We start from the raw sequence: 11564 nt of genomic DNA on the forward strand, positions 1-11564 counted from the left end.
CTCAGGCCAGTTAGGGACATGGACCTTTAGGCAACTAATTTAGGATGAAAGAAGCCTGGTTTTGGTGCCCTAATAAATGCAAGAACAGCAAAAGCACAGAGGCAGAGAGATGTACCAGATATTGTGAAATGACTTTACTTGTATCACCTCATAGAGTTCTCTCAATATAAACAACTATTGTTTTCCTCATTTTACAGAAGAAGGAACTGAGTCTCTAAGATGGAGGATATACAACTGACAAGTAGTAAAGTCAAGATACACAGCCAGGTCTGTCTGACTTCAGAGACCAAGTGCTTAATCACTCTTTCATTTTGTGATGGTCTGATAGAGCTGGAACATAAGGTTCCTGGGAAGATGGAGCATCCAGAGAACAAGGCAGAGGGAGATAAAGAGAAAAGGGGGAACAGGGCCGAATTGGCCCAGGCCTTGAATGCCAACTGGAGGAGTTTGGATTTAGTTCCTCTGGGCCAGAGTTTTTCAATATCAGCACTATTGACATTTGGGGCCAGATAATTCTGTGTGTGGTGGTAGTGGGGTGGGGGTAGAGGGCTGTCCGCTGTATTGTAGGATGCTTAGCAGTGTCTCTGGCTTTGACTCATCAGATGTAAGTAGCACTCCCCAACCCCTGACAGTTGTGACAACTAAAAATGTCTCCAGACATTACCAAATCTCTCCTGGTGTGTGTGTGTGTGTGCCCGCGCACACACATATGCTAATTCGACAACTAGTTGGGAATGGCTGCTCTAGGCACTAGTTGGGTGCAGTTTTAAAAGGAGTGTGACATGGGCTGGGCACGGTGGCTCACGCCTGTAATCCTAGCACTTTGGGAGGCTGAGGCAGGCAGATCACCTGAGGTCAGGAGTTCGAGACCAGCCTGGCCAACATGGCGAAACCCAGTCTCTATTAAGAATACAAAAATTAGCCGGGCATGGTGGCGCACCCCTGTAATCCCAGCTACTCAGGAGGCTGAGGCAGGAGAATCACTTGAACCCAGGAGACAGAGGTTGCAGTGAGCCAAGATCGTGCCATTGCACTCCAGCCTGGGCAACAGGTGAGACTCTGTCTCAAAAAAAAAAAAAAAAAAGTGTGACATGATGAACATTAGAACATTAGGAATGCTCCTTTAATACTAGCAACTTAGCTCAGCATGGTGCTGCATGACTGTAGTCCTAGCTGCTCAAGAGGATGAGGTTGGAAGATCACTTCAGCCCAGGAGGTCGAGGCTGCAGTGAGCTATGATTACACCACTGCACTCCAGGCTCAGTGACAGACTGAGACCTCATCTCTAAAACAAAAAACAAAACACCAATGACTTCTGTTATAACAAGCACTGTTATGTTCATAATGTGTTAGCCCTTGTGAGAAATTGTATTATGTTTAAATTCTGGTAAGCTGGAATCGCTTGTACTATTTTGGTTACATTCCCATGGAGTCTGTTCATTTTCTGTGAAAGGATAGATTGAGTTTACCATGTGCTCCTCAAGGGCAGTGAGCACAGTGGCTTCTTTGTTTTTATATTCTAAGTCCCTAGCACAGTGAATGTTAAATGAATAGATGAATTTTAAAAAAATTATTATATACATATTTATATTACTTTTTAGAATATCATGCTTAGATCAGAGATTTGTCATAAGTCTAATATGTAGTAAAAAATAAGCATCTTTATTTGTAAGCAACAATATCTGTTTTAATCTTTTGATCCAAAAATTCTACAAGCTGATAAAATGTGTAGACTTTATTTTCAGTTCTATTTTTCAGATGAAAAAAATCCATGTGATATTTGCAGCATCCACAGGGTTTTATTCAATCTGTAAGAATATATTATTAATTATTCACTTGTCTTAGTCCATTTGTGCTACTATAACAAAGTACCTAAGACTGGGAAATTTATAAAGAACAGAAATTTATTTCTCACAGTTCTGGAGGCTGGGACGTCCAAGATCAAGGTGTCAACTCCTCTCTGAAAGCTGTCTGCTTCCAAGGTGGTGCCTCTTGCTGTGTCCTCACCTGGAAGAAGGAGGCAAAAAGGGATGGACATTGTGTCTTCACATGGCAGAATAGATGGAAGGACCAGGCTGCTCTCTGAAGCTTCTTTTATAAGGGCATTATTCCTGCCTATTAGAGCAGGGCCCTTATGGCTTAATCACCTCCCAAAGGCCCCATTTCATCTCAAAACCATCACCTTGGTGTTTTAAGTTCCAACATATGAATTTTGGAGGGACACTTACATTCAAACCGTAGCACCACTATATAAAGCACTTTGGGTTAACTCAATGTGATTTAATTCAATAACTATGGAGCTACCCCTATGAACCTAGCACTAAGAGAGATATAAAAGCACAGTAGTTATCCTCTAGATATGTCTAATGAAAGAGATGTCAGGCTTAGAGGGTATGCCTCCTTGTTCTGTCTCTTACCAACTGCGTGATCCTGAGTTCATTGAGGCCATATCATGATTTTTGTGGGCTCTAGGCACTTTTGCCCTTATGGACCCCTTCTTCCATAAAAAAGCATTTAAAGATATATTTATGACTGCATCAGCATAAAGACAAACACAAAACAGGCTGGATTCATTATTATATATTCATTATTATTATGTTCTTTTTTTCTTCTGGTTTTAAAAGAAATTAAAATTAAAACATGTTTTCTTAGGCTCCTGTAAGTATTATGGGCCCTAAGCACTGTGCCTACTGTGCCTAATGGGTAAGTCAGCTTTGGGGCCAAGTATTAACCTCATCTAGTTCTCATTTCCCTCTTTGTAAAATTTTGGTCTTGAAGGGTTATTATAAGGATTACTTGAGGTACTTAGAAGTTGCATAACATCAGAAACCAAGTCCGATTTGTTTTCCACAGTGTAACTAGAGCACTTGGCACAGAATAAGAACTCAATAAGATGAATGTGAAATTACTAACATAGTGTCAGGGTATAGTAAACACTTGATAAATATCAGATTTAGTTCACGAGACCTCCCAGGGAACAGTTCAGGACATACATAATAGATATCAGAAAGCTGTTGTGGATGGTACAGACCCTGAATGTCACAGGAATTCAGATCAGGAAGGATTATGTGGATCGGTTGGTTAGCATGCTTTTTAATTTTTTATTTGTTCAGTGCATCCATCCCACTTAACTGCAGCTGTAACACTGTCATTAGCAGTGTAGGTAGGAAAAGGATGTGTTCAAAACCATCAATTCTATACTCCAGCCTGGTATATTTACATATGCAGGGAGTTGTACCAGCATTGCCCTGTAGCTCCAAATCCTCTGCAGATTTAATTACAAAGCTACAAAGTGAGTGCATAAATTATGCACTAAGGCCCATGTTTGGGAAATTACTGTGTAGTCCTGGGAATTAGATAGGAGATTAGATCTTTGTAATTGATATACTTCCACTTAAGGGTTGAAACCCTGCAGATCAGTGAGAACTTTGGTCTAAAGACAGTTTGTCTGTGGTTCTGCAGGGCTAGCTGGACATTTAAACTCCAAACACTAGCTATTGGGAGGCAAAGAACTTTGCAGTTATCCAATCCTGCTCAGGTCTCCCTCTTCAGCTTCATCTCCCCCATGGGTTCACTTGTCCCATCACATCTGGAAGATGCACAGTAAATATTACCAAGCCTTTTGCCTTTACCTATACTGTTCTCTTTGATGGAATATTCTTCCCCTCTTCATTCTGGGAAACCCCAAAGAGAGTGCCTGTTTCTAGTAGCTACTCTACAAGCATTAGTTTCTTCTCCCTGAGTAAGAAGGCAAAGGTTTCATGTCAGTAAGCTCAGCTCAAATACTTTTCCTTGTGAAAGCCCTTCTTACCTTCCTAGGAAGAAGAAAAGAAAAGAAATGCACCTGTATTGGACACCAATTAAGTACAAGCACTTTGCTGGGTCCTTTGCATTTATCATCTTGTTTAATCCTCAGGGCAATTTTGTGCAGAAGGTATTCTTATCCTTAGTACCTAGGTCAAGAACTTGCTGTCTAAATGGTTAAGTAACTTTGCCAAAATCTCTCTGCTAGTCAACAGCAGAGGTGGAAATGGAATCCCGTCTGCCTGGCTGTCTCCCTCAGGCCAGTCAATTGTTCCATTCTTGGGGTTCTTTTTTTTTTTTTTTTTTTTGAGACGGAGTCTCACTCTTTCACCCAGGTAGGACTGCAGTGGCGCGATCTCGGCTCACTGCAAGCTCCGCCTTCTGGGTTCACGCCATTCTCCTGCCTCAGCCTCCCGAGTAGCTGGGACTACAGGCACCCACCACTGTGCCCAGCTAATGTTTTGTATTTTTAGTAGAGACGGGGTTTCACCGTGGTCTCGATCTCCTGACCTCGTGATCCGCCCGCCGCGGCCTCCCAAAGTGCTGGGATTACAGGCGTGAGCCACCGCGCCCAGCCAGGGCTCTTAAAATTCTTCCATCCTGCCTCTACCCTAACACATGTCTCACTGTATGGTAATTTATTCGTATACTTTCATAATCCGTCTCGTTCATGAAACATTTTTTTTTAATTTTTTTTTTTTTTTTTTTTTGAGACTGGGTCTTACTTTGTTGCCCAGGCTGGAGTGCTGTGGCACAATCACAGCCCTTTGGAACCCTGACCTCCTGGGCTCAAGGGATCCTCCCACCTCGGCCTCCCTGGTAGCTGAGACTACAGACACAAGTCACCACACCCAGCTGATTAAAAAAAAATTTTTTTTTGTAGAGACGAGGAGTGGGGCGGGGAGATGTCTCACTATATTGCCCTAGTTGGTCTCAAACTCCTGGGCTCAAGGGATTCTCCCGCCTCTGCCTCCCAAACTGGTGGGATTACAGGCATGAGCTACTGTACCCAGCCAACTAAACTCTTGAATCAGAGAGCAAATCTTACTTCTTTCTGTATCCTTAATGCCTGGCACAAGGACTAGCATGCAGTGGGTGCTCAAAATATGTTGATGGAATAAGGTAAATAATAACAAAACACTAGGGCTGGGGTGGTGGCTCACACGTGCAATCCCAGCACTTTGGGAGGCCAAGGCAGGAGGATCACTTGAGCTTAGGAGTTCAGTGTCAGCCTGAGAAACATGGTGAAACCCTTTCTTGGCAAAAAATACAAAAATTAGCCGGGCATGATGGCGTGCACCTGTAGTCCCAGTTATAGGGTGGTTGAAGTGGGAGAATCACTTAAGCTCAGGAGGTTGAGGCTGCAGTGAGCCATGATCGTGCCACTGTACTCCAGCCTGGGCAACAGAGTGAGACCCTGTCTCAAAACAAAAACAAAAAAAACACTTTGCAGTTTGCAAACCATTTTCAAATATATGATTTCACTTAAGTATGAATAAGCATAAGATAAAGTTCCTGCTTTTGTTAACTAGCAATATAATCAAGAAAACAAGTTATGTGCTGGTGAAACAAAAATTCACAAAACAGTATCAGGAATAACAGTATTGTATACAGATAAAGTAAATTTACTGAGGCCAAAGCGAATGAGAACTGAGAACAAGATTTTTAGATTTGGAGAGAAAACGATCTTACAGCTCTATTTAGGGAACTGGATGGGACATTTTAAGTACCTTATGCTATTTCATCCTCACAAAAACCCAGTGAGGTTCATGATACTGCCTCTCTTTCCTAGAAAGTGGACAAAATCTTAAATAGGTTTAAGTGATTTGCCCTAAGTCACACAGCTGGGTTATGGCAGAGCCTATTCTATGTTCTGGTCTCTAAGAGTCCTCTTCTTTTTTTATTGTAGTTGTATTATTCTGCGCCAATATTTTAGGAGATACTAGTAGTTAATATATTTCTCTTTATAGGCAATAAAAACATTTCAGCCGGGGTCTTCTGGCTAAGCCCTGTGGTGTATGTAGTAGAAAAAGTATGTGTCTTGGTTTGGGTTGGAGTGCAGGCAAATTATTTAGGATATGATATCAGTAAACCCGGGTAGGAGTTGGGTAGTAAGACAGAAGTGAAGATAGTCAATAATGTATACATTATTAAGCTAGTTACCATAGTGGGCAATTGGACCTCAGTTATGCTGTGGAACTCTGGGAGACAGTGCAGGGCACATTCAAGGTATCCCAATGGAGGGGTGAGAAAATTGGGGTATTATTCAACTCCCTATACATCATTGGTTCTGATAACATTAAGTCTCCGAAACTCCCAGCTTGCTCTGTGCACAGGCCAAGCATGTTCCCTGGTCAGAAAGAAAGAAAGAAAACCAAAATCTTCAGGCAGTGAGCTGCGTGTGTTCCCTATAATAGCCTTCAGTGTCTAGAAGTGAATGCCAGGAAAATATGGACAGGAAACCAATAGCATCTGCTACAGAATGTAATGGGACGCAAATACTGCCTCTACCACTTCATTTTACATTTAAAAAAATTCATTAGGGCTGGGTGCGGTGGCTCACGCCTGTAATCCCAGCACTTTGGGAGACCGAGGTGGGTGGATCACCTGAGGTCAGGAGTGCAAGGCCAGCCTGACCAACATGATGAAACCCCGTCTCTACTAAAAATACAAAAATCAGCCAGGCATGGTGGTGGGCGCCTGTAATCCCAGCTGCTCGGGAGGCTGAGGCAGGAGAATCACTTGAACCCGGGAGGCGGAGGTTGCAGTAAGCCAAGATCCCACCATTATACTCCCGCCTGGGTGACAGAGTGAGACTCTGTCTCAAAGAAAAAAAAAATTCATTAGGTATTTATTGTAAGTCCATCATACACTAAAGGGATTAGCAAACTGGTTTTGAAGACCAAATATGGCTAGCTTCATGGTTTCTTTGTTTGTTTTTGAGATGGAGTCTCGCTCTTTCTCCCAGGCAGGAGTACAATGGTGCGATCTTGGCTCACTGCAACCTCGGCCTCCCGGGTCCAAGTGATTCTCCTGCCTCAGCCTCCCAAGTAGCTGGGATTACAGGCGCCTGCCACCACACCTGGCTGATTTTTTGTTTTTAGTAGACACGGGGTTTCACATGTTGGTCAGGCTAATCTTGAACTCCTGACCTCAGGTGATCCACCCGCCTCAGCCTCCCAAAGTGCTGGGATTACAGGCGTGAGCCACCGCACCTGGCCTAGCTTCATGTTTTTATAAATAAAGTTTTATTGGAACACAGCCATGCCCATTCACTTATGCTTTTGCCCTACTACATGGCAGAGTTGGGTGTTTCTGATAAAGAACATCTGGCCCTCAAAGCCTAAAATATTTTACTATCTGACATTTTATAGAAAATGTTTGCCAACCCCTGAGTTAGGTATTTGGGATACTGAGATGAATAAGATTATTCCCCTGTCCTTAAAGCGTTTACAATCTAATGAACAAGACAAATGTGCAAGCCAATAAAGGCAGGAAATTATTACAAGTGCTACAAGAGCCATTTAAATAAGGGAACTGGGATTTCTAACTAGCTGGAGAGATAAATCAAGAAAATCAGCCAGGAGCAGTGGCTCACACCTGCAATCCCAGCACTTAGGGAGGCAGAGGCAGGAGGATAGCTTGAGTCCAGGAATTTGAGACCAGCCTGGGCAACATAGTGAGACCCCATTCCAAAAAACAAGAAGATAAAAAAGAAAATCTTCATAGAAGAGATGACAGACACTTTAATGGAGTCCTGAAAGATGAGTAGGTATTTTCCAGACATAGAGGAGTAAAGACATTCAACACAGAGAAGACAGAAATAGCAGAAATGTCCCAAGGATCAATAATGGCATGAATTTAGGGAACTGGTATCATATTTGGAGGTGGGAAGATAAATGACACAAAAAATAAGTCTGGAAGTAAGGAATTAAATTTTATCTTTTCCTTAGAAATATGATTGGCTCTCAGCCGGGCACAGTGACTCAGGCTTGTAATCCCAGCACTTTGGGAGGCTGAGGTGGACGGATCACAAGGTCAGGAGTCCGAGACCAGCCTGGCCAACATAGTGAAACGCTGTCTCCACTAAAAATACAAAAATTAGCTGGGCGTGGTGGCAGGCGCCTGTAATCCCAGCTACTCAGGAGGGTAGACAGGAGAATTGCTTGAACCTGGGAGGTGGAGGTTGCAGTGAGCCAAGATCAGGCCACTGTACAGAGCTAGACTCCGTCTCAAAAGAAAGAAACAAAGAAAGAGAGCGAGAGAGAGAGAGAGAGAAAGAAAAAAGAAAAGGAAGGAAAGAAAGGAAAGAAAGAAAGAAATATGACCGGCTCTCACAGTCAGTGTGGAGGCTAGGTTTAAGGTAGCAATAGTGGAGTGGATAACGCCAAGCTACTGTAGCAATCCAAGCATTAAATGGTGCAGGTTTGAGACCAGTTAGTAGCAGTGGACATGGAAAGGAAAGGCTGTGTGATTCCAGTGCAGGCTGGTTTAGGCGCCCCTCTTTGCCCAGAGCACCTTTATCCCTGGCTTGGCATGTGTTGCCGTGTGTGGCAACACAGACTCTGAGATCCTTGAGGACAGGAACTATGTAAGACTGATCTCTGTATCTTCAGCACTATCTTTAGCACTTCAGGATTCAGCATAGAATTGCTGTTTACTGAAGGCCACTTGCTTGGAAAAATGTAGTGAATTAATATACTGCAAATTTATGGCTGTGATGATTTGTCTTTAAGTTATGGGGACCTAGGTGGATATAGAATGAGGAAGAGGGCATGAGAATTCTGCAAGACTTCTGGTTGGCACAGAAGGCTGTTGCAATCTGACAGGATGTCCCTGTTTGAACAATAATGCTGCTTATTTCAGCTCTTTAAGGAGGCAGGCACATGATTATAAATGGCAAATGCCTGGCAAATTCAGAGCTGACATAATTACCTGGTGGTACTTTTTTAAAATATATTTTTTATCCTTTACAAAATGGCTTTTTAAGTAGTTACAAGTACAATGTCTGTTACTTGTAGAAAATTTGGAAAACATGCCGGGCGCGGTGGCTCACGCCTGTAATCTCAGCACTTTGGGAGGCCAAGGCGGGCAGATCACGAGGTCAGGAGATCGAGACTAGCCTGGCTAACACGGTGAAACCCGGTCTCTCCTAAAAATACAAAAAAAATTAGCCGGGCATGGTGGCGGGCGCCTGTAGTCCCAGCTACTCGGGAGGCTGAGGCAGGAGAATGGCGTGAACCCGGGAGGCGGAGCTTGCAGTGAGCCGAGATCGCGCCACTGCACTCCAGCCTGGGCGACAGAGTGAGACTCCATCTCAAAAAAAAAGAAAAAAAGAAAAAATTTGGAAAACACAAAAGTATAAAGAAAAAACATAAAACCAACCATAATCCCACAAACTGACTACAGATGTTTTTCTTTTCTTTTCTTTTTCTTTTTTTTTTTTTTTTTGAGACAGAGTCATGCTCTGTCAGTGAGGCTGGAGTGCAGTGGCACGATCTCAGCACTGCAACCTCCCTCTCCTGGATTCAAGTGATTCTCCTGCCTCATCCTCCTGAGTAGCTGGGATCACAAGTGTGCACCACCACACCCAGCTAATTTTTGTACTTTTAGTAGAGATGGGGTTTCACCATGTTGGCCAGGCTGATCTCAAACTCCTGACCTCAAGTGATCTGCCCGGCTCAGCCTCCCAAAGAGCTAGGATTACAGGCGTGAGCCACCACACTTGGCCTACAGATGTTTTTCTGTAGTATATCTATGTAATCTTCTGGGTAGATAGGTATATTTTTTATAAAATTGGAATCATACTGTGTGTGTATATATGCACACAACTTTCCATCCTCCCAGCTCTCTTATTCCCACTAAGTCTCTCTTTAACCTCAAAGGAGATCCAATTCAATCTCTTGGCTTCTTCCTCCTAATCTATTCTCCTTTCCTGCCATAATCAGCCTAGATCTCATCAGCTATGTCTATCTGTTAGCAGCAGTGAATCCATACGGGTTTGCAGCAAGCTCAATTCTCACCTCCTTGGAGGAAAGAATTTGGCCAAGGGGCATATGGCACAGTGAGAGACTGACTGAAGTTTTAGAGCAGGAATGAAAGTTTATTAAAAAATTTTAGAGGAGGAACGAAAGGAAGTACACTTGGAAGAGGGCCAAGTGGATGACTTGAGAAATCCAAGTGCCCCATCTGACCCCTGACTTGGGGTTTTATACATTGGCATGGTTCCAGGACTTGCATCTCTCCTCTCTTGATTTTCCTTGGGGCAGGCTGTCCGCATGCACACTGGCCTGCCAGCACTTGGGCGGGCCGCATACACTGTATTTACTGAAGTTGTGCATATGCTCATTTAAGGCGTTTTTCCCTTACCAGTCTAGTGTTCCTAGAGGAAGGTCATATACAAGTTAAACTCCACCATTTTGCCTCTTAGTGTGCATGCTTGAGCCCACTCATCCAACTCCTGAGATCTTCTCAGGAAGCTGCTGATCATCAGCCTCAAGTGTCTTCTGTCTGTTGGGAGACTGCCTTTCCCTGGCACCAGCTGCGACCAATTATTATTTTATTTAATTAATTATTTTTTGAGACGGAGTCTCACTCTGTCACCCAGACTAGAGTGCAGTGGTGCAATCTCAGCTCACTGCAAGCTCTGACTCCTGGGTTCAAGTGATTCTCTTGCCTCAGCCTCCCCAGTAGCTGGGATTACAGGAGTGTGCCACCATGCCCAGCTAATTTTTTTTTTTTTTATTTTTAGTAGAGAAAGGGTTTCACCATGTTGGCCTGGCTGGTCTGAAACTCCTGACCTCAAGGAGTGATCCACCCACCTCAGCCTCCCAAAATGCTAGGATTACAGGCATGAGCCACCACAACTGGCCTTCAATGATTATTTTAGAGAGATAGTTTAACAATCTCCTGACCATCATCTGATGGTCACCTGACATTCCTGGATTGGGGGGGGGGGCTTTCCTGCCCTGCTCTTGTCCGCCTAACTACCTACTCTAACATATAGGCTAACCAGCTACTCTCAACTTCTTCCTTCCTCCACCTACCTTATAAATCTCTCTCACCTTGGATAATTCCAGTGATGCACCTCCTGTGTTCCTAGACACAGGCTGCTGAGAATTGCTGGGGGAAAAAAAAAATCCCTCAACCATTCAAAACAAGATAAGCCAGTGCTACCAATAGTTTGTATGTTTAAACTCAGAGGGACCCTTATTGCTACTTCCATCCCTTTTTTTTTCACTTCACAGAGCCCTTCCCTCTTGCCTTTTACACTTCATCACCTTCTTAAAGTTCACTGTCTAATTCTATGACCTCCCCTTCCCCCTTCCTATCTGTTAATGACCTAATTCATATAGAAATAGAGTTCACCAAGGAGAATGCCTCTTAATTTCCTGCATTTGATCTTGAAGTATTTTCCGTAGGCCTTAGCTTTCTCAAGCCTCTCTCATTTTTCCCCATTCTAATTATTGATTCTTAATCTTTTTTCCTGGTTTCTCTTCTTTTTCCTCTTCTTTAAATTTTGCTGTCCTCTAGGGTTCCATCCTGAACCATACACTCTATCCACATTCCCTGATCTCAATGCTTCCTATGCCTTCAGCTACCTTCTCTCTCCTTTTTTTTTTTTTTTTTTAGAGATAGGGTGTCACTCTGTCGCCCAGGTTGGAGTGCAGTGGCACCATCAAGGCTCACTGCAGCCTCAACCACCTGGGCTCAAGAGCTCCTCCAATTTCAGCTTCCTGAGTAGTTGGAACTACAGGTAT

At 43.4% G+C, this 11564-nt stretch overlaps 1 protein-coding gene across 4 annotated transcripts in view, besides 1 other annotated feature; it reads left to right on the plus strand.

Moving 5' to 3' along the window:
- OSBPL9 (oxysterol binding protein like 9) overlaps nt 1-11564 on the plus strand; it is a 270948-nt gene that overhangs the window by 79655 nt on the left and 179729 nt on the right. The gene's annotated exons all lie outside the window — the stretch shown is intronic.
- Nucleotides 10208-10390: a silencer, noted in NCBI's record as "fragment chr1:52073806-52073988 (GRCh37/hg19 assembly coordinates)". NCBI's record gives its function as "represses an EF-1alpha promoter that drives an FKBP-Casp9 reporter gene in an ReSE screen in K562 erythroleukemia cells {active_cell/tissue: K562}" and the evidence as "EXISTENCE:reporter gene assay evidence [ECO:0000049][PMID:32094911]".

This window comes from Homo sapiens, chromosome 1 (assembly GCF_000001405.40).
Source record: "Homo sapiens chromosome 1, GRCh38.p14 Primary Assembly".
Taxonomy (NCBI): Eukaryota; Metazoa; Chordata; class Mammalia; order Primates; family Hominidae; genus Homo; species Homo sapiens.